Genomic DNA, 25,174 nt, shown 5'->3' with positions numbered 1-25,174 from the left:
GATAGTTACAAATACATATTTTTAAAGCTACACACCTCCCTCACAATTTGCCCACAAAGAAATTCTCTGTGGGCCTCAAGATCTTTACCCTAAAACAGTTCTGTTGAATTTCACCCTGGCAATGCAAATTGATAGCTTCCCTTCACAGGTGCGAGACAAAGGACTGAACTCAAAGCCATCCCTCTGCTCACCTAGACAAATGCATATCTGATCGCTTCCTTTGCTCTACTGTTTACGTAGAAATGAAGATTCAGTAAGCCAGACTAAAGCATAAGCGACTATTCCTCTACCCGCGTCTCACATGCATAATAAATTGTGCAGTCAGCGAAAGGCTGAACAAAGACTCAAAAGAATGCACCCTCCGGTCTCTTCTCTACCTGTGACCTGAAAGCCCTCTCCTGGAATTGTCCAGCCTTTCTGGGCTGAACCAAGGTACACTCGCACGTGTTGATTGATGTCTCACGTCTCCCCAAAATGTACAAAACCAAGCTGCATCCCAACTTCCCTGGGCACCATCGTCACGATCTCCTAGGGTTGTGACACTGGCGTGTCCTTAACCTTGGCAAAATAAACTTTTTACATTTCATTGAGTCCTGTCTCAGATATTTTTGGGTTCATAACCCCCACCCTCACCCCTACCCGCGGAGAGAGCGAGCCGCTCTCCAGCCCCTCCCCGGCTCTACGCAGGAGAGGCCACTCTCCTCTATGGCACGCGCGGCGGCACTCTAGCAGCCAGGTGGCTTCTCTATGGGCTTTTCCGGCACAGGTCGGAAGTGGCGCGCGCTGCCCCGGAAGCACCCTGGTGGGTGGGTGCCTGCCAGCAGCTGAGGCGCCATGGCGGCGGCAGCGGTGTCAGAGTCTTGGCCGGAGCTGGAGCTGGCTGAGCGCGAGCGGCGGCGGGAGCTGCTGCTGACGGGGCCCGGGCTGGAGGAGCGAGTGCGGGCGGCGGGTGGGCAGCTGCCGCCGCGGCTTTTCACCCTGCCGCTGCTGCACTACTTGGAAGTGAGCGGCTGCGGGAGCTTGCGCGCGCCGGGGCCTGGCCTGGCGCAGGGCCTGCCGCAGCTGCACAGCCTCGTGCTGCGGCGCAACGCGCTGGGGCCCGGCCTGAGCCCCGAGCTCGGGCCGCTGCCTGCCCTTCGGGTGCTCGACCTGTCGGGCAACGCGCTGGAGGCGCTGCCGCCGGGCCAAGGCCTGGGCCCCGCCGAGCCGCCGGGCCTTCCGCAGCTGCAGAGCCTCAACCTCAGCGGCAACCGGCTGCGCGAGCTGCCAGCCGACCTGGCGCGCTGCGCCCCGCGCCTGCAGAGCCTCAACCTCACCGGCAATTGCCTAGACTCCTTTCCCGCCGAGCTCTTTCGCCCCGGCGCGCTGCCCCTGCTCAGTGAACTGGCGGCTGCTGACAACTGCCTCCGAGAACTCAGCCCCGACATCGCCCACCTGGCCTCGCTCAAGGTCAGCGGGGGCTGCCCGGGCGGGGCGGGATGGGGCCTTGGAGTAGCCCTGGAGAAGGAACCCCTCTCGGGGCCGAGCAGTTCCTAGTGACGCCCCCTGGGGCACTGGGCCCAGGGAATTCCTACAAGGCTGAAAGGAGCCAGCTGCGGGGGGCATCACCCCTGGGAAGCAGATGCCGCCTTCCAACTCCCCCTTCTCCTGGCCACACCAACATACTAGGTGGCCTCTGAACTCCCCCGCATTCTGTTAACTGGACTTTTACACGTGGTACGCTATTTTGTAATTGTTAGCAAACCTGGCTTCTCCTGTAGATCGAGCGTAGAGACCTGTCTTTTTTGTATCTAGTACTTGTGAAGTGACTTGAGAGTGAGTCTGGTGGTGAAGGGGGCACCCTGGATTTTGCATAATGCCACATGCTGTGATCTTGAAGATTATATTTCACTTCATCCTAATAGCAGCTTTCCAAGGTAGGGGTGGTTATTCCTGTTTTACAGAAAGCCAAAGGGCCTGCCCAAAGTAAGCAGCAGGTAACTTGGGTTTTTCTCCAGACTATATTGTCCAGCGTCTGTTTACTAATTAATCTTGGATCCCCAGGCCCCGCGATAATGCTTGGCCTATAACAGGTGCCCATTGAATCTGTTGCCTAAAAGAAAGTAGGGAAGCCACATGGCAGAACCACGACCTAAACCCAGCCAGATGTTCTCTCCATCTTCTCTTTTGGTTTCATCCTTAAGGCAGTCCTGCATTTCTTCCCCCATTTTTCGTCTTTGAATTTATGCAGACATTTCTTTTTTTTTTTTTTTTTTTTGAGATGTAGTCTGGTCCTGTCACCCAGGCTGGAGTGCAGTGGCGCGATCTCGGCTCACTTCAACCTCCGCCTCCCGGGTTCAAGCGGTTCTTCTGCCTCAGCCTCCTGAGTAGCTGGGCTTACAGGCGCACACCACCACGCCCGGCTAACTTTTGTGTTTTTAGTAGAGACGGGTTTCACTGTGTTGGTCAGGCTGGTCTCGAACTCCTGACCTCATGTGATCCGCCTGTCTCGGCCTTCCAAAGTGCTAGGATTACAGGTGTGAGCCACCGCGCCTGGCCTATGTGGACATTTCTTAATAAAATACGTATACACTTTAGCAGCTTATCTATTTATTTGCTGTAGCAATTCCTCAAGACATTGCAACTCATTTTACAAGTAACATATCTATATAAGGATATATAGACAAACCCTGGCCGGGCGCGGTGGCTCACACCTGTAATCCCAGCACTTTGGGAAGCTGAGGCGGGCAGATCGCTTGAGGTCACACCACCAGCCTGGCCAACATGGTGAAACCCCATCTCTACAAAAATACAAAAATTAGCTGGGCCTGGTGGCGCGTGCCTGTAGTCCCAGCTACTCGGGAGGCTGAGGTGGGAGGATCACTTGAGCCCAGGAAGTGGAGGTTGCAGTGAGCTGTGATACCAGCCTGAACAGAGCGAGACCCTGTGGCAAAAAAAACAAACCCACTGTAGAGTGACACATGGTTACTGATGTAACTGCCCAATGGGTTCATTTTATCCACTACCCGGATAGAGCTGATTTATCAGGGCAGGAGGGTTGCAATAGAGAAAGTTTTACACATGTAGAGCCAGCTAAAGTGGAGACTGGAGTTTTACTGTTATTATTATTGTTGTTTGAGATGGAGTCTCGCTCTGTCTCCCAGGCTGGTGTGCAGTGGTGCAACCTTGGCTCACTGCAAGCTCCGCCTCCCGGGTTCACGCCATTCTCCTGCCTCAGCCTCCCGAGTAGCTGGGACTACAAGCGCCCGCCACAACACCCAGCTAATTTTTCGTATTTTTAGTAGAGATGGAGTTTCACTGTGTTAGCCAGGATGGTCTCGATCTCCTGACCTCATGATCTGCCTGTCTTGGCCTCCAAGGTGCTGAGATTACAGGCATGAGCCACCGCGCCCGGCCGAGTTTTATTACTAAATCAGCTTCCCCAAAAATTTGGAGGCGGGGTTTTTCAAGGATAGTTTGGGGAAAGGGGAGGGTGGCTAGGCAACGGGTGCTTGCTGCTGATTGGTTGAGGTGCAATCATAGGGGTGTGGGAAACGGTCCTGCTTACTGAGTCACTTCTGGCTGGGGCTGCGGGGAGCTCTTTTTGGTTTCAGGTAGAGCCATTGATCAGACATGCAAAAACCCTGAAAAGACACAGCTCAGAAGGCCGGTCTTAGGTTCCACAGTGCTGCTAGTGCTGTTATCTGCAGGAGTCACTGGGGAAGTCGCATATCTTGTGACCTCCAGAAGAATAGCTGGCAGTTGTTTATGTCTACCCCTTAGCAGAATTCAGGTTCCTCCATCCTCCTATCCTCGTGGACCCTCATTAGCTTTACAAAGGCAGTTGAGTTTTACGGAAGGAGTATTATCATTTAAATTACAAATGTCTCCCAAAGTTAGCTTGGCCCAAGCCCAGGAATAATTAAAGGTAGTTTGAAGGGCCAGGCGCGGTGGCTCCTGCCTGTAATCCCAGCAGTTTGGGAGGCTGAGGCAGGCGGATCACCTGAGGTCGGGAGTTCTAAACCAGCCTGACCAACATGGAGAAACCCATCTCTAGCTGGGCATGGTGGCACATGCCTGTAATCCTAGCTACTCAGGAAGCCAAGGCAGGAGAATCGCTTAAACCCGGGAGGCGGAGGTTGCAATGAGCCAAGATGATACCATTGCACTCCAGCCTGGGCAACAAGAGCAAAACTCCATTTAAAAAAAAAAAAAGGTAGTTGGAAGGCCAAAGATGGGGATTGGTTAGATCAGATCTCTTTCACCACCATAATTTTCTCACTGTTACAGTTTTTGCAAAGGTGGTTTCATTGGCATTTCCTGGAAGAGGCGAGTTCACTGGCATTTTCCTTGGTCCTCAGGGCTGTAGGCATCCCTCTAGGACTAAGGTGTGATGTTGGATACAGCATGGTCTACTCCCACCTTCCCACCTGACAGATACTTTTGGTTTTCCAGAGTGTTGATGTACTAGGCATGTATCTTAACATTGTGCCTTACATCATGTAAGTGTCCAGTCAGTTGCAATATTTCTCTTCAAATTCATAGATGTCTTTCAGTATTCAAGTTCTTAAAAGTGTTGTGGGCCAGGCCCACGCTTGTTATCCCAGCACTTTAGGAGGCCAAGGCGGGCGAATCACGAGGTCAAGAGATCGAGACCATCCTGGCCAACATGGTGAAACCCCGTTTCTACTAAAAATACAAAAATTAGCTGGGTGTGGTGGTGCATGCCTGTAGTCCCAGCTACTCGGGAGGCCGAGGCAGGAGAATCGCTTGAACCCGGGAGGCAGAGGTTGCAGTGAACCGAGATTGCACCACTGCACTCCAGCCTGGGTGAGAAAGTGAGACTGCGTCTCAAAAAAAAAAAAAAGTGTGCGTCCAGCTCTCTGTAGCACCTGCCTGGTAAAGCATTCCTCTTTATGGTGCCCAAAACAATGTCATTCAAGTCAAAGAGTGTGTCTTGTTTTCTAAATCCCAAAAGAGGTGGCCAAGTTCCCTTTCCCCTGGGCCATTCTGTTCGTAAATTTTAGGCGTCCAGTGGCTCTCTATCAGGAGACCTGTTTCTTGGAGGGTCATGCAAGAGCTATTGGAATCCCTTGTTGCACTCAGATGTCCTTTTGGGTACCTTTCTGAGGAATGGCTACCAGAACTATGCCCAGCAATGTAGCTACGCACATTGGAATTTCGCACACAAAGGCAAATGCATTTGATGTCCTTCCTGGTGCTGTGGGGAGATGGGGAGTGTAGAAAACCAGAAAACTGAGCTCAGAAACAGAAGGCAGGCTGGGCACAGTGGTTCATGCCTGGCATCCCAGCCCTTCAGGAGGCTGAGGCGGGCGGATCACTTGAGCCCAGGAGTTTGAGACCAGCCTGGGCAACATGGTGAAAACCTGTCTCTATAAAAAATACAAAAATTAGCTGGGTGTGGTGGTGTGCACCTGTAGTCCCAGCTACTCAGGAGGCTGAGGTGGGGTGAACGCTTAAACCTGGGAGGTTGAGGCTGCAGTGAGCCATGATCACACCACTGCACTCCAGCCTGGGCAACAGAGCTAGACCCTGTCTTAAAGAAAGGAGAGAGAGGCCGGGTGCGGTGGCTCATGCCTATTATCCCAGCACTTTGGGAGGCTGAGGCGGGCGGATCACCTGAGGTTGGGAGTTGAAGACCAGCCTGACCAACATGGAGAAACCCCGTCTCTACTAAAAATACAAAATTAGCCGGGCGTGGTGGCGCATGCCTGTAATCCCAGCTACTCGGGAAGCTGAGGCAGGAGAATTGCTTGAACCTGGGAGGCGGAGGTTTCGGTGAGCCAAGATGGTGCTGTTGCACTCCAGTCTGGGCAATAAGAGTGAAACTTCGTCTCAAGAAAAAAGGAGAGAAAGAAGGGGGAGGAAAGGAAAAAAAACAGAAGGCACGGGCTCCAGCCCTGTCTCTCTGTGGCTGCGTGCCGTTGGGTCTTGAAGGCTCTTTGCTCCTCTGTAGGAAGACTGGGAGGGTAACGCAGTACACGAAGAGGGAAAGAGATGGGGGAGGTAGTGCTGGTCATTGTGGCTGCTTGACTCCGAAACCACGAGGCTTAAAGCAGCAGCGGCTCTGCGCTCTGGGCTGGCTCCGCCAGACAGTGGACAGTGAACAGTGGACAGTGCTGCAGCTCTTGCTGCTGGTCGCTCGCGTGGCTGTGCTCAGCTGGCGTGGGCTCAGGGCTGGGCTGCCGGGGTGGGTGGGCTTCTCCGTGTGTCGTCTCGGGGCCTCTCCCTCCCCTTCTTTCACAGGGCTCAGGGCTCCTCAGTACAAAAGCAGCAGCTGCCAGCCCTTCTTCAGGCATCAACCTGGAACATGCTTCCTGCCACTTTCCTGCGTTCCGTGGGTTAACTAAGTGCGAGCCCAGTTCCGGTTCTTTGGGAGGACTGGCTCTTTAGGGGCCGCCAAAATAACAGCACAGAGCTTCTGCCTGTCCTTTCCCTCCCCAGAGGGGCGAGACTGCAAATGGAAGCAGCTCGGCCTGGCTCCTAGTGCCCATCCCCACAGCCATTCCCCAGGGAGCACCCCCAAGCCTGGGCTGGGACCTGCAGTGCAAAGGCCCTGACCCTCTTTCCTCCCAGCCACTGGGGACGAGGCCTCTGCTGTCCTATGGCCTCAGCAGTAGCTCTGCCTGCGTGGGAGCCTGGCTTCCCCAGTGTCCTGGCCTCAGAGCCACGTGGCTTGCTGAGACCTGAGAGCACCCGGCCGGCCCTCCCTGGCTGCTTCCCGCTGCTGTGGCCCGTGGGGCTCAGCTGGCAGTGCTGTGGTGAGCCGAGGATGGGGGCACGTCACACCTCTCCTGACTGCATTGTAAGTGGCCATCACGCAGGCGTGTGGTGTCCGTGTGGGAATGAGGGATGGATGGGACAGATGTTACCTGAACAGCTGATGTGGGCAGGACGGTGCCTTAGTAAAGACATCCTTTCAGGCCCTGGGCCACTCCCCTCCCAAGGCCAAGCTGCACAGGGGAGTTCAGCCTCAATGTGAACCCTCCTGAAGCCAAAGGCTCTCCCCCAGCTTCCGAGTTTCTCAGTTGCTGCCGGAGGGAGTGGGGCTCACTCAGGGGCTGGCGCTCCTTATTGGGTTGGTTTATGTCAGCCTGTCACCACCATGAAGTTAGGATCCTTCCCCGGCAGCAGGTCCCCTGCAAAAGCCATGGGCCCGGAAGGCAGCCGGTATGCCAGGCCAGAGTCAGGACCCACGTTGCTGCCGTCAGCTTAGCCACTGCGAGGGTTGTGTTTCCTGCAGTAGAGTGTCAGCTCCGGGTGACAGGTGACGGCATTTCATCCCATCAGGTGTCAGGAGGACCCCTAGCCACCCCCTGTGTAACTCATCCTCCCCAAAGCCAGTGTGCACCTCACATCCTTGCGGGCGCGCCTGCTTGCTCCCTCACACAAGTGAAAACTGACGCCACCCTCATCCACCCTTCATGTGTGAAATCTCTGGCTTCATTTCCTGCTGAGGCCGCCACTGGGTGCCCAGTGCTGGCCTGAGGGGCCAGCGTGCGACCTCGTCAGCAGGGCCTTGCATTTCTGACAAGGACTCCCCAACATGTGCGGCTTTGCGCCCCACCCAGATGGTGACTCTCTTGCCCTCCCTCTTGCTCTCCTTCCCCCGCTTCCCTTCCTGTCCCCTGACTCCCCACAGAGCCTCCAGGCAGGTCCTGAGCTGCTCAGATGCCCTTTCTCTGACAGTCTTTGCCTGGAAGGAAGACCCTTCTCCGAGTGCCCGCCATCATCCTTTCGGGGACTCACTGCAGGCTGCAGGCTGAACTGGCTGTGGCTGCTCTGGGCGCCCCGGTGGGGCCCCGCCCGCCTCCTTCGCCTCTGCTGCTGCTCCTGGGTCTGAAGGAACTTGCTCTTTGTCAGCGGAGGGAGACGCCGCACTGCGTGTTTGCAGGCAGAAAGGAGGTTCCACTTGAGGGGAACTCTCAAGCTTTTTGACCAAAGCCCCTTAGGGCAGCGCAGAAACCCACAGAGCAGAACCTCAGATGCCTGTGCCCCCGAGCTTCCAACCTCAGAGCTTCCCTTGGCCTCTGCCAGGCAGGCTGTGCCCTGGGCTGGTGGCCCAGGCTGGTTCTAACGCTGGAGCCAGGGCTCTGACAGGGAGGTGAGGAGCTCTAGAAGGCTGAGCTCACGGCCGCACTGTTCCTGGTGCTGCAGGCTGGCGACAGCATTGGTGATACGGCTCCTGGTACTTTGTGAGGCCACCTGGATTCCAGGAGTAGATTGGCTCTCGTCCCATGTGGGGCCGGAAGGGAGGTCTGGGCTGGAGCCACCAGTCCAACAAGTCTATCCCAGCCCAGCCCACCCTGTGCTGAGAAGCACAGAATTGTGGCAGTTCTGTTAGATCCGATGGACGCGTGGCTCAGGTAGTGCCCAGCAGCTGGGCTTGGTCTCAGCCCCTGCCTTGTGTTCTTCCCCAGCAGGCGTCACTGCTGCTTAGACTGCCCCATTCTCTCCCAGAGGGCACGCGAGCCCTTTTATTTCTTTTACACATGCTGTTCCTGCTTGACTGTTAAGTTGTCGCTTCCTCCCTGGGTCTCTGTTCTCCCTGAGGGAACTCATCCAGTGCACCCTCCCATGTCTGAGCCGTGCCACCCTTCCCGCTTCTGAGCGCCATCCCATTTCTGAGCCATGCTGCCCTTACCCGTGTCTGAGCAGCTTGATTGCTTGAGCCGGAGGATTCCAGCAGGTTCCTTTTTTCATTTCCTTCACAACTTGGGGCTTGAGAAATTCCATCACCCCTGCCATCCATTCCAGGCGAAGCAGGAGGTGTCCTCTGAGTAATCAGCCCATCCCCAACTCTGTTCAGAGTCTATCAAGTCCAGCCCTACCTGTCTCCTCCACACCCAGTGTAACTAGGACTCACCAGCCACACTGACCAAGGGCGAGTGCTGGCTTCCAGGGGGCCCACATGCTGTTGCCTCCTCTCTGGGGGCAGAGCCGGCACCGAGGCTGCCAGAGATCCCCGAGGGTCAGGCTTTGCATCCTGAGCAGGGTCTTCCTCCAGCCCTAGAGGAAGCTGGGACAGAAGGGTTTGCTCGCAGTGCCTGCCCCACCACCCAGGCAAGGCTGTGGGGCCTGGGTACCAAGCCAGGAAAGAGCAGAGTGGAGGCGGATGGGCCCCTTTTGCCTGAACCTGCAGCGGCCGCCTCACGTCATGGAAGTGGCTGCCCTCACACGCACGTTCCCTGCGCTGCCCAGACCCTGGGAAAGACATCCTAAGAGTGCATCAGGTGCCACTGTACCCCTTCCATCCTTTCAGTGAGGTCACCTGCACGTTTTGCCAAAGTCTGATCAGTCACGGTCATAGAAAACGCTTTCCCGTGGGCCACGGGGCTTCCTGGGCATCTTTGTGGCACACGGTGGTGGGCCCGATGCACCTGTCCTGGGTCAGACGAAGGCTGAGAACCCATCGCCGTTGAAGTCGGCTTTCCCCTTTCCTTCCTGCGTGAACCCTGAGAGCACTCTGTGTGTCACTGCGGGCAACTTTGCACTTCATTATGAAGAAGAATGCTCTTAGAGATTTTGCTGTATTTTTTTTTTAGCTCATTTAATTAAAAAAAATAACACCACTTTGGGGAACCTGCTTCTCACCTGAGCAGTCCTGGCTAGGTCCCGACATGAGGTCACGTTTCACACCCAGACATCCCCTGTCTCTTGTCACCTTTCTGTTCTCTAACGTGATGATTGAGCTGCAGGGCTGCTGTGGTTGTTAAAGAGGGTGACATGTTTGAGTCAGAAGCTTTTGCAGAGATCACTGTTAACCGTGGCTGACGCCTTCTCCTCGGAGAGGCTCCTCGGATAGTGCCTTTGATGTGGGGTGCAGAGCTGGGGAAGTGACTCAAAGGTGAATGACTTGTGGCTCCCCAGGGACGCGTCCCCACAGACAGGCCAGTGGTGGCTCTTGTGAGTGATGAGTGGTCTCCCTGCCTCTCGAGCATGACCTTGGACTCTCTTCCCAGAGTCCGGGCGTCTGACGCGTCCATGTTTCTCTTTGCAGACGTTGGACCTCTCGAACAACCAGCTGAGCGAGATCCCTGCAGAGCTTGCGGACTGCCCCAAGCTCAAGGAGATCAATTTCCGTGGGAACAAGCTGAGGGACAAGCGCCTGGAGAAGATGGTCAGCGGCTGCCAGACCAGATCCATCCTGGAGTACCTGCGCGTCGGAGGCCGTGGTGGCGGGAAGGGCAAGGGCCGTGCCGAGGGCTCGGAGAAGGAAGAGAGCCGGAGGAAGAGGAGGGAGAGGAAGCAGAGGCGGGAAGGTGGTGATGGGGAGGAGCAGGACGTGGGAGATGCCGGCCGGCTGCTGCTCAGGGTCCTGCACGTCTCTGAAAACCCCGTACCTCTGACAGTCAGAGTGAGCCCCGAGGTCCGGGATGTGCGGCCCTACATTGTGGGGGCCGTGGTGCGAGGCATGGACCTGCAGCCAGGGAATGCACTCAAGCGCTTCCTCACCTCGCAGGTGGGTGCCCGTGGGGGTCCTCAGATGACTGGGACAGAGGTGTGAGACGCCGCAAGCTGGGACACATCCTGAGGCCAGCGTGTCCGAAGGAGCAGCAGTGGAGTATGGGGCCCAGCCGGGTGTCTGTGTGCTTCAGTTTCCTCAGCTCCAAAAAGGGAATAGAGCAGGTTCTGGCTCAGGTGTTGCTGAGGAGGGGGTAAGGCCTCAGTCCCCTCCGGGAGGCAGGTGTCTCCAGCGTGGAGATGGCCTCTTCACAGACGCCTGCACCCTGGCCTGGTTGGTCCTGGTCACTGGTCGTATCCCTTGCTCCTCCACATATGGTGTTAACGGTTTATCCTGATTTTTTTTTTTTAAGGAGTCTCGCTTTGTCTCCCAGGCTGGAGTACGGTGGCGCAGTCTAATCTCACTGTAGCGTCCGCCTCCTGGGTTCAAGTGATTCTCCTGCCTCAGCCTGCTGAGTAGCTGGCATTACAGGTGCTCACCATCATGTCTGGCTAATTTTTTTGTATTTTTAAAAGAGATGAGGTTTCACCATGTTGGCCAGGTTGGTCTTGAACTCCTGACCTCAAGCAGTCCACCCGCCTTGGCCTCCCAAAGTGTGGGGATTACGGGTGTCAGCCACCACACCTGGCCTATCCTAATTTCTGGATAGCTTTATTGCAGTTGAAAATCAGGGTTCCAGCTGGTGCGGTGGCTCACGCCTGTAATCCCAGCACTTCAGGAGGCCGAGGTGGGTGCATCACCTGAGGTCAGGAGTTTGAGACCAGCCTGGACAACATGACGAAACCCCATCTCTACCGAAAACACAAAAATTAGCCAGGCGTGGTGGTGAGCACCTTTAATCCCAGCTACTGGGGAGGCCGAGGCAGGAGAATCACTTGAACCTGGGAGGTGGAGGTTGCAGTGAGCCAAGATTGCACCACCGCATTCCAGCCTGGGTGACACAGCAAGACTCCATCTCAAAAAAAAAAAAAAAGGAAAATCAGGGTTCCTTGATTTTTTGATATTTTGGTGGGTTTTCTGACTTCTGCAGTAAATCACACATTTTGTTTTATGTAAGACAGTATTAAAGTCATCAACTCTTGCCAGCACATTCTTCTGTGAATTGTTTAGGTTTTGGCAAGACTAACTTCCCAGTTGCTTTTCTGTGACACCTGACCAACTTTTAAAATATAAAGCACCTCTGTGCCCAGGGGAAAGTCTCGTGCGCCCCGCAGTGGCAGCGACAGAGCATGGCGGGCCGAGAGTGACTGTCGTGAGAGTCCTGCCTGCAGCTTGGGGAGGAAGGGAACAGGCATCACAGCCAGGGCTTTACAACTTAAAGCTCAGCCTTTATTTACATTTTAGTTCAAGATGGGTTCTTTGAAATCTCAAATATTATGTCAGAATTAGAGAAGGAAGAAAGTCTGCTGATTGATAGGTTAAGATAGTTTTCCTGATGGTGATTCCACAAAGTGAGTGCCTGGCTGGCCGGGTGGAGAGGAGTTGGAGGGGAGCCCTGTCTCGGAAAGGGGCGTGGCGTGGTTGTGAAGACCTTGGACCGGGAGGGTTTCCTGGCACACAGCCCAGCCAAGGGTGAAGTGTGGACACCTCGCTGGGCTTCAGGGCACAAGAGACCTTGCTCATCACTGCTTCTGTGTTACAGACCAAGCTCCACGAAGATCTCTGTGAGAAGAGGACGGCTGCCACCCTTGCCACCCACGAGCTCCGTGCCGTCAAAGGGCCCCTGCTGTACTGCGCCCGGCCCCCACAGGACCTCAAGGTGCTGCAGCCTCCTTTGCAGGGTCTGCTGAAGAGTCTCCTTGGTGTCGAAAGACGCCATGCTGCTACTGCAGCCCGAACTTTTTTTTTTTTTGGAGATGGAGTTCCATTGTTGCCCAGGCTGGAGTGCAGTGGCACAATCTCGGCTCACTGCAGCCTCTGCCTCCTGGGTTGAAGCGATTCTCCTGCTTCAGCCTCCCGAATAGCTGAGTTTACAGGCATGTGCCACCACGCCCAGCTAATTTTGTATTTTTAGTAGAGACGAGGTTTCTCCATGTTGGTCAGGCTGGTCTCAAACTCCAGGCCTCAGGTGATCCGCCCAACTTGGCCTCCCAAAGTGCTGGGATTACAGGCGTAAGCCACCGCACCCGGCCTGAACATTTTCTTTAGAGTAGGATCCGATGCTGTTCTTGCAAAGACATGAAATAATGAAACAGACCGCGTTTGCGGTTACTCGAAGCGGTGCACAGCTGTGAGAGGACTCGGCGGATGAGCAGTCGTTGGGAAAATGGTTTCCTTCACTCGCTCACTACCTTTTAATCAGAAATTTTGGTCTCTGTCCCGATAGTAAAACCGTTTGCGTGGGGTTGGCAGTAGGGTGAGTTGCTGTGTCGTGCTGTCCTGGGCTGTTGAATCTGTGGAGTGCACGAGGTCCCGGCTGCTCAGCCTTTCTCTCCTCTTTTGGCCTTCTGAGGATGGCAGACCTCTGGAAACAGTTGTGCATGAGCTGGCTTTAAGGTTAAGCCCTGCCTCAGTAGGATCGGTGTGTTTGGGCGTCAGGTCTCCCCGGGACGCTGCAGTGGCAGCCCACATGCAGCTTCTTGCTGCGTGGTCCCGTGGGATGCTCCCTGCCTGCTGTAGAGATGAATGAGGGCGGGAGTCGGGAGGGCTCATTGAGGCTTAAGGCCGTAATCGACACGATGGGCGAGTTCTGTGGCTGTGACCCTAGTGGAGTTTGTGGGTTTCTGCCCGATAGATTGTCCCCTTGGGGCGGAAAGAAGCCAAGGCCAAGGAGCTGGTGCGGCAGCTGCAGCTGGAGGCCGAGGAGCAGAGGAAGCAGAAGAAGCGGCAGAGTGTGTCGGGCCTGCACAGGTGGGCAGCGTGCCTGGTGGGGTGGGGCCGGGCCCGGGGGAGTGCCGCATGCTGGCCTCAGCTGAGTTAGTCTGTGCTCCTCAGGAACCGCCTAATGCTACCAGAACCCAGAAGCTTCTTAACAGGGTACAAAGAAAGCATTCTCTTTCCAAAGGAGACGTTGTGGAACCAGTCTGTCATCTAGATGGCCCTGACGTGAGGGAAGTGGAAGGTGTTAGGAGCGGAGGTATTGGCCATTCCACAGGGGGCGGGTGGCCCTCAGGATGGGACAGGACAGGATATAAACTAGCCATTAGGAAACAGACATAAATGCCAGCCCAACCCACAGCATTTTATCCATACCGTGCGCTGTTGGGTATCATCCAAGTCAGGGTCCTTGGTGCTGCTCTAAGCAAGATGATCATCCGTAACTAGCCCAGTGATTTCTGTAAACACAGGCTTCAGAATACTTTGTTCTTTGAAGCTTGTTATGCTTGGGCCCTTGATATTACACTTAATTTGTGTAAAGAACTTTTTGAGTCGTCCATTTTACCCTTTAGGTATGTTTTCAGGTGTGTGCTTTTTTTTTTTTTTTTGAGATGGGGTCTCACTCTTGTCGCCCAGGCTGGAGTGCAATGGCACGATCTTGGCTCACTGCAACCTCCACCTCCTAGGTTCAAGCGATTCTGCCGCCTCAGCCTCCCGAGTAGCTGGGATTACAGGCGCCTGCCACCATGCCTGGCTAATATTTGTGTTTTTAGTAGAGACGGGGTTTCGCCATGTTAGCCAGGCTGGTCCTGAACTCCTGACTTCAAGCAGTCTGCCTGCCTCAGCCTCCCAAACTGCTAGGATTACAGGCGTGAGCCACCACGCCCAGCTGTGCCTTTTTTCTTTTTTTTTTTTTTTAAGATGTGGTCGCGCCATGTTGCCCAGGCTGGAGTGAGGTGGCTAATCATAGGCGCAGTCCCACTACTGATCAGCACCGGAGCTTTTTGTCCTGCTCTGTTTCTGACCTGGGCTGGTTCACTCCTCTTTAGGCAGCCTGGTGGTCCTCCACTCCCAGGAGCTCACCATAGTGATGACAGACTTAGCGTAGACACTCCATTGGCACAGCACACCCCAGCCAACTCCTGGGCCCATGCAGCCCTCCTGTCTCAGCCTCCTGAGTGCTGGGACCACAGGCACATGCCACCACACCCAGCACAGTGTTTCTTTTATAATTATGCCTGGAATTTGTATTTCTTCCCATACAGATACCTTCACTTGCTGGATGGAAATGAAAATTACCCGTGTCTTGTGGATGCAGACGGTGATGTGATTTCCTTCCCACCAATAACCAACAGTGAGAAGACAAAGGTAGGGTGGCATGTGTGTGAACATGGTGTGTCTTCTAGGCTGTTCCCTGTAGAATTAACACAAGTCTGCGGGGCGTGGTGGCTCAACACCGGTAATCCCAGCATTTTGGGAGACCGAGGTGGGCGGATCACCTGAGGTCAGGAGTTCAAGACCAGCCTGACCAATATGGAGAAACCCTGTCTTTAGTAAAAATACAAAATTCGCCGGGCGTGGCGGTGCATGCCTGTAATCCCAGCTACTCGGGAGGCTGAGGCAGGAGAATCACTTGAACCTGGAAGGCTGAGCATAGTGGCACATACCTGTAGTCTCAGCTACTCAGGAGGCTGAGGCAGGAGAATCGCTTGAACCCCAGGAGACAGAGGTTGCAGTGAGTCGAGATCGCGCCATTCCACTCCAGCCTGGGCAACAAGAGTGAAACTCCGTCTCCAGAAAAAAAAAAAGAAGAGGAAGAAAGAAAAAGAATTAACACACACAAGTATCTGCTGCATTGTGAGGTTTCATTGTGTGCAATAGAAAACGCAGCCCAGAGGGGTCAAAGGGCCCCCTGGCTTCTCAGAGCTACAGCTCACTGTTCATGCTCGGTGCTGCGTGACGGCCCGGGATGCTGTGTGCAGCACTGCAGTCTTCCTCTGTAAGGAGTGGGCTTGGTGTGTGTGACGCCATCTGCTTAATTGATTGATTGAGATAGGTCTTGCTGTGTTGCCGAAGTTGGAGTGCAGTGGCAAGATCATAGCTCACTGCAGCCTCAAACTCTTGGGCTTAAGCGATCCTCCCATGTCAGCCTCCTGAGTAGCTGGGACCACAGGTGCATGGCACCACACCTGGCTAATTTTTGTATTTTTTTGTAGAGATGGGGTCTTGCTGTGTTGTCCAGGCTGGTCTTGAACTCCTGAGCTCAAGCAATCCTCCCACATCAACCTCCCAAAGTGCTGGATTTACAGGTGTGAGCCACTGTGCCTGGCCACACAGTTTTGTAGATTTTTCCTGAGAACAAATGTTGCAGTTGCTGATGTCTACATTTGATAACTGTTCTTTTCTGAAATGTTTTTTTCTTTTAAGGTTAAGAAAACGACTTCTGATTTGTTTTTGGAAGTAACAAGTGCCACCAGTCTGCAGATTTGCAAGGATGTCATGGATGCCCTCATTCTGGTGAGTGTGGGGTGGCTCCTCCTGAGAAACGCTTTTGAGCGTGAGTGGTGCTCTGCTCCTTGACTTCCCACCCGTCCTGCTTGCCTCTTTTTTGCTTACTGTGTTGGCAGACAGCAGCATGTCTTCCCTGGGTCACCTCTCATCTCCAGGTTAAAAAGGTATTTTTTATTTGCAGAAAATGGCAGAAATGAAAAAGTACACTTTAGAAAATAAAGAGGAAGGATCACTCTCAGATACTGAAGCCGATGCAGTCTCTGGACAACTTCCAGATCCCACAACGAATCCCAGTGCTGGAAAGGACGGGCCCTCCCTTCTGGTGGTGGAGCAGGTCCGGGTGGTGGATCTGGAAGGGAGCCTGAAGGTGGTGTACCCGTCCAAGGCCGACCTGGCCACTGCCCCTCCCCACGTGACTGTCGTGCGCTGACGCCAGGGCCGCCTGTCCGCGTTTGTTTGGCCGGTTTTGCGGAGGTTTCTATGCGGCAATGCTGAATTATCCGTTAGATTTTCACCCCAGTTTTTTTGTTGGTTTTTTTTTTTGAGATGGAGTCTCGCTCTGTCGCCAGGCTGGAGTGCAGTGGCGTGATCTCGAGTCACTGCAGCCTGTGTCTCCTGGGTTCAAGCGATTCTCCTGCCTCAGCCTCCCAAGTAGCTGGGACTACAGGTGTGTGCCACTAAGCTCAGCTAATTTTTGTATTTTTAGTAGAGACGGGGTTTCACCATTTTGACCAGGATGGTCTTGATCTCTTGACCTCATGATCTGTCCACCTCTGCCCCTCAAAGTGCTGGGATTACGTGATCCACCCGCCTCAGCCTCCCAAAGTGCTGGGATTACAGGCGTGAGCTGTGCCTGGCCCACCCCAGCATTTTTTAAGATGTATGTATTCGTTGTTCTGTTTTTCCAGATGATTCTGTCGTAAAGTGATGCTATGTTGTCGTTACAACATCAAAGTGATTTTACGGTTTTTGATGGGATTATTCAAGTGTCAGAATTAACTGTTCAAAATGTTCTGAATCATGTAGATACATGGCAGGTAACTGTTTATGGGAGAAAAGTACAGTGCTGTTACGTGGCACTGTACAGTCATGTGCCACGTAACAGCGTCTGGGTCAGTGACGGACACTTACCTGACAGCGGATCCACAATATTCTCGTGCAGTGTGTTTGGAATCCTGGTCTGGGCTCTCGTCGTTGGCCTTGTAGATCAAGTAGGGGAAGTGAGTGATGTTCAGTCATGCTGCTGGGACACTTGGTTTTCCAGATGAAAACACATAAATAAAACTACATGCACCATCGAGGCTTGTGTAAAGACTCTGTGATCACACAGCAGCGGCTAAGCACACGTTTCTCATGTGTCACTGAGCGACACGTGACTGTCACTGGTTCGGAGACCCGAAAACTTGGGAAGCCAACCGATGTGCGTTTCCTTGAACGGCACGGTCACTTTCTATGACGCAGCATCTTGTAAAACCATATCATGCCAGGATGCAGCTTGGCATGTGCAAGGGCGTTGGGTTCTCCAGCTGGCAGTGATCATAATCTTGGGGGGAAAAGTTTTAATGTGACCTTAGAATTGGCAGAATTGCGTCTCTTCATACTGCTGTTGGATTGCTTTGTGGGGGTGGAGATGTGGAGACCCCTTCAGGCAAGCAGCCTGTAGGCTGAAGGCAGTGGCAGCACCTCACCCTGGCTCAGCGGGGCCAAGCGGAGGAGAGCGGCATCGGTGGGGTTTCCATCGTGTGCACGCTGGTGCTGCAGTGACAGGCAGGTGGAGCCCCAGGAGTGGACCAGACGCCTCTGCTTGGGAAGCATCGGCAGTCCTCAGCCAGCCGAGGGACAGATGGTAGCAAAAGCTGGAGGATGCTTAGGTTTTTGAGCCAAAAATCTTCATTTATGCGCCAGAAAGGTGGGTCCTGGGCGCCTTCTGTTGTAGACGTTTCCGTTGTGAATGTCCAGGTCAGACCCCCACGTCCATGTGTCTTCGTGTATGTCCAGGCACCACATGTGCGTGCACACCACTCCCGGGAGTCAGTGTGCTTGGCTCATGAGGACACGGCCAGCCACCGCGATGATTTTACAGACCCCACTGCCTTACGATCTGGGTGCCATGTGAGAAGCAGACTCATCAGCTTTATCGAATGACACCATTTGTTCTCTGTTCAGTGTCTCGATTTCTGTGTCTGTAGAAATGACTGGTGATTTTGGGAAGCATCTGCAAGAGCCCCACAGCCCACACACCTTTAGTTGTCAACCTGAGAGGCCCGGGGCCCTGTGCAGTGGGCAGACTAACAGCTGGGTGGCTCTTCAGAGCCTTGCAGGACATGGGCCAGGCTGCCTTGAGACCTGGACCCACTTGTCTGGTCACCGCCAGGCCTTCCCGTCTCGCCCACTGTGGGAGGGAGGGGACTCCAGACAGGACGAGGCCCACACACTCAGTGCCAGCTGGACTGCCGTGGGTGTGTCAGATGACTGCCTTGCCTTGTGTCCTCCCAAAACCTGATTCCTGCTGCTCTGGGCAGTCAAGGCAGATGCCACAGTTGGCCAGGGGCCTGCCCTGCTGGAGGCTTGAGGCGGCACGGGGGCTTCCCCAGGCCAGGACTCTGCTGGAGTTCTGGGGCTGGGGACCCCAGACAGTTGCTCTGAGAGGTGATTTGGGGCTGCCATGGCAGAGGCTGCCCTTTCTCTGCATGGCCCGGCCCAGCCCGGGAAGGAGGAAGGGAGGAAGGGAGGGATGCTGGAGCTGCCATCTTGGCTCCCGGGGACTTGGTGTCCATGCTGTAACACATCTGTCACTGCGTGGGTGTGGATGAGGCTGCCACATGCTGTGCCCTTTCCTGATGCAGCTTGTGATGCGTGAGATGCTGGAAATGTATTTAACTCGCAGCACAGGTGTCTCTGATGTTTTCTTCACCCCACCCCACCCCCCGACTCACTAATAAAAACAGCTCCGCACCTGGCCCAGCAGATCCTTTCCCACCGGCACTGCCAGAGGTTGTTGCTCGAAGTGTCACAAAGCTCACTCTAGCCCAGTGGTGGCTTCTATGTGGGGAGGCTGAGGGCCTCCTGTCCCCACCCAGATCTTGCCAGCAGGGAGCAAGAGGCACCTGCCACTGTCATGGGGAAGCTGGTGCCCTTGACCAGGGGTCCTGGGAACTGGCCTCACCCTGCTGGGCCCCTGCCTGGAGCACAAGGTGGACCAGAGGTGTCGGGCTGCCTGGATACCCCAGGTGCACAGTCAGAGGAGCCCAGGCCCCAGACGCATCCACAGCAGATCCTCCTGTTCGTGAGTCTCTGGGAGGGTAGGCCAGGCGGCCACTCAGCAGGGTCCTGTCCCATCCTCTCCCCAACCCTCCCAGAGCTGTAAGGACACTGCTCAGCTCAGCCTAGGTCCATGACCCTGGGGGTACTGGGGCTGGAGCTGCTGTCTCCACCATGGTCACTTAGGGGACAAGTGGTGTGCCCGAGAGGCGGCTGTGGGTTACTTGAGTGCCTGGCCCAATGAGCACCCGTGGGTGTCTGCCTGTAGCCTCCCCTGCTGGGGCTGGCAGGGCTGCTGGTGGAGCCCCTGGCTGAAGATGCTGGGCCCCTGCCAGGGCGGACCCAGATGCAGCCAGACAGATCCAGGGCAGACCCGACATGCGCCTGTGCCATCTGATGCCAGCCCCTGACAGGTGGGAAGGAGCATTTGTGGGGGTGCGTGGGCATCACTGGCATGCGGGACCCGTGGCAGAAGCACCAGGGCCACTTCCCCTCTGACTGTAGAACTGGGACAGCTCCCATCCCCATCCTGTGCCCTCGCCTGTCTCCTGGGCCGCACCAGTTCTTGGGGAGGCCCAGCCCCAGGACCCCCAGGTCGGAGTGCTGCCTTCTGGGGCCCATGCAGCCAAACTGCTGGGCCCAGCGGCCTCTGCCACTTCCTTACAGCAGCCCCAAGGCAGTGCTGTCCTGTGAAGCTGGGCTTCAGGGAGGGTACCAGCTGGCTACTCCTTTCCCTCCTTGGGAGTGGCAGGTCAGAGGTAGGGATCTCTTTTTGAAGATCCAGGCTGTCATGGGGCTGGGGCAGGCAGCAGCCCACCCAACAACAGGCTCCCAGGAAAGCATCATTGCTTCAGACCGCAGCCCAGGACAGGCCCTTGGGCTCCCTCCTTGGGTTTGGAGCCAGGAGCCTTGGGGCAGTGTGCAATCAGCCATGCAGCTCCACCTGCCACCGGCTGGCCCAGGCAGATCTCAAGTGAGCCTGCTCGCCCCAAAGGCGGATGATGTGGAGTCTGCCTCCCTACCAAGACTGGCGCAGCCCCTCCTGTTTACCTGACTTGATGCTTTCGGCGGGACCTGGCCTGGGGCAGGCGCAGCCTCAGCCCTCCAATAACCTCATCTGGCCCTGTGGCCTCCCTTCTCTGTGCCCGTGAGGATAGTGGCTGCCCGTGTCTCCCACCCCCAGCCCTGGGGTGAGGACCCCTTCCCTAAGGGGATGTTTCTGGCAAGGCTTTTTGGGATCTTTTGTGGTAGGTGAGGGCCAAACACAAGACCCAGGAAAGCACCTACCAAGAGAATGGAGGTTGGGACCGGGGGCTGGGACTGGAGGCCAGGATCGGGGTGGGGGGAATGGGACCGAAGTCCCTGGGACACAGCTGAGGTCCAGCCACATCCGGGTCCCCAGGCCTGCCGGCTGTCCTCGCCAGAGGGCCCAATTGGTAGGGGTGCATTCCTAGAGCCACATGGGAGGGGGGCCTGCCCCGGGGAAACAAGCCCTTCCCACAGCCTTCCTGGATGTCACGCCTGGCCAGGTAACTATGGCAAGGGCTGTCATCCACCGTTCATTCAACAGACACTTAATGCCTCTGTACACAGGCTCTTGGCCCACAAGGAGTACTTGGAGGGACCAGGCCCATCCCTGGGGAGGGAGGGTAGACCCGGGTCCTCCCTGGCAGCCGCCGGCCCCAAGAGGGACACACCCAGCCTCTGCGCGTGGTGGGCTGCCTAGGAAGAACTGTGCCCACTTACTAAGGAAGATATGGTGCATCTGAGACAAGGGCGGGGGACACATAGCCACCCTTACAAAACCAGGAGTCAGAAAGGCCCAGAGAGGACAGGGGCCTGCCCAGGGCCACACAGCTCTGCACACTGCTCCCACGGAGGAAAGCAGCCGGGAGGATCCCACCCCGGGGGGCTGCCAGGGAGGTGGGCTCGGTTTGTCCGCTGAAGGAACCCCTCATCCTGGCCTTCACAAGGGAAGGGGCTGGGCCCTGGGAGAGAGGAGGCTGTAGCTGGGGGCTCCAGGCCGCAGGGCCCAGCCTGGGTGTGTCCTGCAGCTCCTGCTGAGGCTGGGCCCAGGCCTCCCAGCCACGTGTGCCCAGCTGTTTGTAGGTCCTTTGAAGGGCTGTGTGCCAGGTGTTTGTGCGCCCCCGTGTGGGGCCGATGACAGCTGTGCACCTGGTGTCTTCGTGTGCCTGGCTGCCAGCGCGTGTGCCCTGTGCGCTGTGTGTGCCGCAGGGTCCGTGTCTGTGGGGGGGTCCATGTGTACAAGGGGTGTGTCTCCAGGCCTGTGCTCTCACGTGTGCGGCCAGCCCCCCGCGTGCATGCGGGGCAGCATTTATTTGCACTTGTGCACATAGTAGCCTGTGAGGTAGCCCAGGATGAAGATGATCCAGAAGAGGGCCACGCCGCCCAGCACCTTCATGGCGATGCCCAGCTTGCCCGTGCACAGCCTCTGGGAGATCCTGGGGTGAGAACCAACTGGAGGTGAGCCCCAGGCCAGGGCCGCATGAGGGGCCCCCTAAGTGGACTGTGGCCGTTGGTCTGGGTCAGGGGGAGGGGCCTGGGCGCTCTGCTGGAGTCAAGAGGAAGCTCTCCCCGCCCACAGCCAACCAGAGGGAAGGCCAAAGGCTGCGGTTTGCTGAGCTGCTGGACCGTGGGCTCCCAGCCAGGATGGGGTGGAGGGTGATGGGGCCGGTAGCAGGGGTTAGGGCAGGCGTCTCTGGAGGGAGACACCAGCCTGCTATGGCTGGCAGGCTGCCCTCAGGCCCCTCACCTGCGGCAGCGTGAGGCCTCTTCTGTGCTGGACACAGCCCCTAGGCTGACTCCGTCCCTGCTGCCGTCCTCCCACCTACTATAGTGGACGTGGCTCTCCTGGGGCTGCATGCTGTGGGGCTGCAGCGGGAGGGGCGGGGCCTTCTCGGTGGGGAGATCAAGACAGGTGGCCAGGCTGTGGCTTCACTGTAAAACAAGCGGATGGAGGGCGGCAGTCAAGACCCCCTCTGAGGCTGCTGTTAGGAGAGGGGCACTAAGGGTCGGGGGCTGACTCCCTCACCGGGTCTGTCGCCTGACTTAACAGGTGACCTAGACACAAAGTGGTAGAGTCATTTGCCCAGGGTCAGGCCGGGAGGATGGGACCAAGCGAGAATTCCATCTCAGGCCAAGCCCTGACCTCAGGCATGTGGGAGGCCAGTGTTTCCTTCCAGCACACTCCAGGAGCCTCCCTTCCCCGGTGCTTTTATCAGGGAGCCTGCACAGCCTGCCACCCTCAAGAGACGAGGACATTGTGGCCCAATCTAGGCTGCAGCCCCTGATAACTGTCCCCCTCCTTAACCCTGCCCGATAAGGCGCCTTCTGGCCTCTGGGGAGGCTGGCCAGGGGAGGGGGGGGTGGGGCAGGGCAGCAGGTCCGGGGCAGCGGCTGGTACAGCTAGACCGGTCCCTGTCTGGGGAGGATGCGTGGCTGGCCCCAGGCAGTGGCAGCAGCTGTGTCCTCAGCCTGTGTGGGTTGCAGCCCCTCCCCCACCCACACCTCTAGGAGGGCTGGGGCTTGGGGGGCATGATGCACTGAGCACGGGGCCGGGGTGGATTCAAGGCCTTGGGGAGGCCCTACAGAGACAGGAGGGTCGTAGGGCTGGGTGGCTGCCCAGAGCAGGAGGGGCCCGGCCCCAAGGCCAGCTCCCTGCTGGGCTCCAACTCCTGCAGACCTGGGACTCATCTTTGCATCTCGGCACTCAGCTCGGTGCCTGGCAGCCCAAGTGCCCAGAGGGGCGAGGAGACCACGGGGACTGAGCAGGAACTCCAAGCACTAGCACAGCTGCCCGGCCGGCCTGAGCCAGCCCGGACTCTAAGCACCTCCTTTACCCTCTGGCCTCTGTTTCGACCTCCTATTTACCTAAGGGGGTGTGGGGGTGGAGGAGTTGGAGGGGGCACGAGAAGTTGACAACCCACCCAGGCTGTGGGACTGGGGTCAGCTCTCTGGTCTGCTGGGCCCCCAGTGTCCCCTCTCAGCATCTGGCCCCCAGGAGTGGGGTCCTCGGGCAGGCAATGGCAGGCCCCTCACTTCTAGGAGCTGAGGCTTTGCTGGGCCCCCTCCAGCGGGGAAGGCTGACCTTCCTCCCAGGTCATCGGCACAGAGGCCTAAAGGCACAGCAGCCACTCCCCTGCAAGAAGCCAGCTCAGAAACTCAGGCCCCAGGCAGTTCTGAGACTCCCGGCACTTCCATGTCTGCCTTCCCCCAAAGCCCAGAGAGGCAGAAGGAGCTGTCTCAAAGCCATAAAGTGTGCCTTCGGTGGGAGCCCTGGCTCAGTGCAGCCTGGCACTCAGGCCCGGAGAGGCCCAGCCTCTACTGGAGTATGGGTGCTGTTTTCCCGGAGCATGTGGAGCGGTCAGCTGCCTACCCGAGGTTCACGCCCTCTTGCCTGGTGTGCAGAATCCCATTCTGGTCCCAGCAGCAATGTGCCAGCCCCAGGTAACAGCCATGACCCGGGTAAGACAAGCTTAATACCACCACCCCTGCTTTCCCAAGTCACCCAGCTGGGGTCCAGGAGCCAGGGTGCAGCAGGGGATGGGAGAGTTTGCTTCTGTGAAAGCAGCAGCAGCCACCTCCTTCTTCCAGACTCGACGTGATGGCTGGAGCTGCTGGAGCTGCAGCAGCCGCCTTGCAACCCGACATCCACGCAGCATTAGTCTCGGGAGTGCTGAGGCTCCAAGTCCACAGCAGCAGCCCACCATGGGCCTCCCGGTGGGAGGGGTCAAGCCCAGTGTGTTCAACTCTGGGATCATGGGTTCCTGTCTTGCTGACGTAGAACACGTTGTTCCCAAGTCACCCCGGTGCACAGCCACCAGAGCCGGCCCTTGAGGCTGGCCTCCCTCACTTGCTCAGTAAACGTCTCTCCACACTCATGTGATGGTCACAGGTGTGGCGGCAGGAACCCATCAGGGACTCCCCTCCAGGCCCTGGGAGGCTCCCGGATCCTGGCACCTCCTGGGGGCTTGTGAGTGCAGGAAGGCCCTAGGTACACAGGCGCCCCTCCATAGACCTCTTCACCCCACAGCGCCTCAGGGCCCCACACTTACCCGGAGAACCTTGCCTGAGGGCTGGGGCCTCTGGGCCAGGTTGCGGTCAGGGCCTGGCCAGCGGCCCGCACCTCCCAGCGGGGCAGGTCGTGGGCTGAGGTGCGGCAGACGCCTCGAGCCTAAAAAAATAAAGGTGACCGGAGAAGCCGATCTTGCTAAGGGCCGGGAAGGGAAAGTGGCTGGTGTCGGGGGTCCCCAGCAGCCACAAGGAGCCGGGCAAGGAGCCGGGCGGGCAGTTCCGGCCCTGGCCCCGCACCGCGGGTTAGGCCGGTGGGGGTCAGTCCAGGGCACGCCCCCACCCCCGCCAGTTCTCAGCCAGCGAGGCCGCGCACAGTCGCACCTGCCCACTGCGGCCGCACCGGGAAGCCGCAGCCCGGACCCCGCGCGCCTCACCTGTGTCCCCGCGTCTCTGGGCTCCGCAGGGGCCGGGCCTGGGCAGGGGGCGAGGGCGGGGGCGGGGCCACGCGGGGAAGGGCTGGAGCCAGCAGCGGGGAGGTGTCTGGTCCGGAAGGTGGCGGGGCTAGAGTGGTGGGCGGGGCCATGCGGGGAAGGTCTGGGGCCAGTAGCGGGGAGGCGCCTGGTCCAGAAGGGGCCGGGGGCGGGGCGAGAGGGGGCGGGGCGAGAGGGGGGCGGGGCCATGCGGGGAAGGGCTAGGGCCGCAGCGGGGAGGCGCCTGGTCCAGAAGGGGCTGGGGGCGGGGCGAGTGGGGCCGGGAGACGCCTCGTCCGGAAGGGGCCGGGGCTCTAGGCCGCCCAGCCCCGGGGCCAGGAGGTGCAGGGGGGCCGGGCAGGGTCTGCAGAGGGCTGCACTTTCTGCCCCCAGACGGCTCGCCCTTGGGGCCTCCAGGGTCCCCGACCTCCTTCACCCCTGCTGGAGCCCCTCCGACGCCACGAGCCTCCCAGCCCCGCGGGGACCCGGCTGCAGCGCCGACGAGACTGCGGGAGGCTCTGGGCGCGTCTGGGCCTGAATGCTGGGTTCGGGGACCCGGCCGCGGGGACCGTCCTCCTCCGGGGCTTGAGGGGCGTGGCGCCCGCACGTGGCCCAC

General features: G+C 57.4%; 2 protein-coding genes and 1 pseudogene across 6 annotated transcripts, besides 11 other annotated features; 1 reads left to right on the top strand and 2 right to left on the bottom strand.

The window, feature by feature from the left end:
• Positions 632-926: an enhancer, noted in NCBI's record as "tiled region #1968; HepG2 Activating DNase matched - State 1:Tss, and K562 Activating DNase unmatched - State 1:Tss". NCBI's record gives its function as "activates a minimal TATA promoter and a strong SV40 promoter by Sharpr-MPRA in HepG2 and K562 cells {active_cell/tissue: HepG2 | K562}" and the evidence as "EXISTENCE:reporter gene assay evidence [ECO:0000049][PMID:27701403]".
• On the top strand, positions 813-18,752 carry LRRC47 (leucine rich repeat containing 47). The gene is made up of 7 exons (NM_020710.3): positions 813-1,449; positions 10,001-10,462; positions 12,108-12,224; positions 13,200-13,315; positions 14,548-14,650; positions 15,710-15,799; positions 15,975-18,752. The coding sequence occupies exons 1-7, from the start codon at positions 835-837 to the stop codon at positions 16,221-16,223; spliced, it is 1,752 nt and encodes a 583-aa protein (NP_065761.1). The 5' UTR covers positions 813-834; the 3' UTR covers positions 16,224-18,752.
• Positions 1,042-1,251: a silencer, noted in NCBI's record as "silent region_125". NCBI's record gives its function as "represses an Ori minimal core promoter by ATAC-STARR-seq in GM12878 lymphoblastoid cells {active_cell/tissue: GM12878}" and the evidence as "EXISTENCE:reporter gene assay evidence [ECO:0000049][PMID:35858748]".
• Positions 3,267-3,945: an enhancer, noted in NCBI's record as "NANOG-H3K27ac hESC enhancer chr1:3709930-3710608 (GRCh37/hg19 assembly coordinates)". NCBI's record gives its function as "activates a minimal SCP1, AML or CMV promoter by ChIP-STARR-seq in primed H9 embryonic stem cells {active_cell/tissue: H9 hESC(primed)}" and the evidence as "EXISTENCE:reporter gene assay evidence [ECO:0000049][PMID:30033119]".
• Positions 14,200-14,496, bottom strand: RN7SL574P (RNA, 7SL, cytoplasmic 574, pseudogene; annotated as a pseudogene).
• SMIM1 (small integral membrane protein 1 (Vel blood group)) lies at positions 21,355-24,562 on the bottom strand. 5 transcript variants are annotated; one of them, NM_001163724.3, is made up of 4 exons: positions 24,470-24,562; positions 24,130-24,248; positions 21,828-22,012; positions 21,355-21,516 (listed from the first exon to the last, which is right to left on the bottom strand). In NM_001163724.3, exons 3-4 carry the CDS (start codon positions 21,935-21,937, stop codon positions 21,390-21,392), a joined length of 237 nt encoding a protein of 78 aa, NP_001157196.1. In that variant the 5' UTR covers positions 21,938-22,012; positions 24,130-24,248; positions 24,470-24,562; the 3' UTR covers positions 21,355-21,389. The 5 variants fall into 5 exon arrangements, with proteins under 5 accessions (NP_001157196.1, NP_001275512.1, XP_047275959.1 ...); NM_001288583.2 differs by having other exon boundaries at positions 24,523-24,562; XM_047420003.1 differs by having other exon boundaries at positions 24,130-24,562.
• Positions 21,635-22,150: an enhancer, noted in NCBI's record as "H3K27ac-H3K4me1 hESC enhancer chr1:3691725-3692240 (GRCh37/hg19 assembly coordinates)". NCBI's record gives its function as "activates a minimal SCP1, AML or CMV promoter by ChIP-STARR-seq in naive H9 embryonic stem cells {active_cell/tissue: H9 hESC(naive)}" and the evidence as "EXISTENCE:reporter gene assay evidence [ECO:0000049][PMID:30033119]".
• Positions 21,660-21,719: an enhancer, noted in NCBI's record as "active region_66". NCBI's record gives its function as "activates an Ori minimal core promoter by ATAC-STARR-seq in GM12878 lymphoblastoid cells {active_cell/tissue: GM12878}" and the evidence as "EXISTENCE:reporter gene assay evidence [ECO:0000049][PMID:35858748]".
• Positions 22,299-22,443: an enhancer, noted in NCBI's record as "oligo 1:3691528:A:G used in the MPRA construct". NCBI's record gives its function as "activates a minimal TATA promoter by MPRA in K562 erythroleukemia cells, with higher activity for rs1175550 G versus A constructs {active_cell/tissue: K562}" and the evidence as "EXISTENCE:reporter gene assay evidence [ECO:0000049][PMID:27259154]".
• Positions 22,339-22,355: a transcriptional cis regulatory region, noted in NCBI's record as "range of bases deleted by CRISPR/Cas-9 editing among clones D3, D4 and D5". NCBI's record gives its function as "positively regulates CEP104, LRRC47 and SMIM1 gene expression in K562 erythroleukemia cells {active_cell/tissue: K562}" and the evidence as "EXISTENCE:mutant phenotype evidence [ECO:0000015][PMID:27259154]".
• Position 22,347: a transcriptional cis regulatory region, noted in NCBI's record as "MPRA functional variant 1:3691528:A:G corresponding to rs1175550". NCBI's record gives its function as "higher enhancer activity for the G versus A allele by MPRA in K562 erythroleukemia cells {active_cell/tissue: K562}" and the evidence as "EXISTENCE:reporter gene assay evidence [ECO:0000049][PMID:27259154]".
• Positions 23,183-23,698: an enhancer, noted in NCBI's record as "H3K4me1 hESC enhancer chr1:3690177-3690692 (GRCh37/hg19 assembly coordinates)". NCBI's record gives its function as "activates a minimal SCP1, AML or CMV promoter by ChIP-STARR-seq in naive H9 embryonic stem cells {active_cell/tissue: H9 hESC(naive)}" and the evidence as "EXISTENCE:reporter gene assay evidence [ECO:0000049][PMID:30033119]".
• Positions 23,699-24,214: an enhancer, noted in NCBI's record as "H3K4me1 hESC enhancer chr1:3689661-3690176 (GRCh37/hg19 assembly coordinates)". NCBI's record gives its function as "activates a minimal SCP1, AML or CMV promoter by ChIP-STARR-seq in naive H9 embryonic stem cells {active_cell/tissue: H9 hESC(naive)}" and the evidence as "EXISTENCE:reporter gene assay evidence [ECO:0000049][PMID:30033119]".
• Positions 24,276-25,155: a silencer, noted in NCBI's record as "silent region_124". NCBI's record gives its function as "represses an Ori minimal core promoter by ATAC-STARR-seq in GM12878 lymphoblastoid cells {active_cell/tissue: GM12878}" and the evidence as "EXISTENCE:reporter gene assay evidence [ECO:0000049][PMID:35858748]".

Source organism: Homo sapiens, chromosome 1 (genome assembly GCF_000001405.40).
Source record: "Homo sapiens chromosome 1, GRCh38.p14 Primary Assembly".
NCBI lineage: Eukaryota > Metazoa > Chordata > Mammalia > Primates > Hominidae > Homo > Homo sapiens.
Note: the sequence above shows the minus strand (reverse complement) of the source record. Positions and strands in the feature narration are given on the sequence as shown.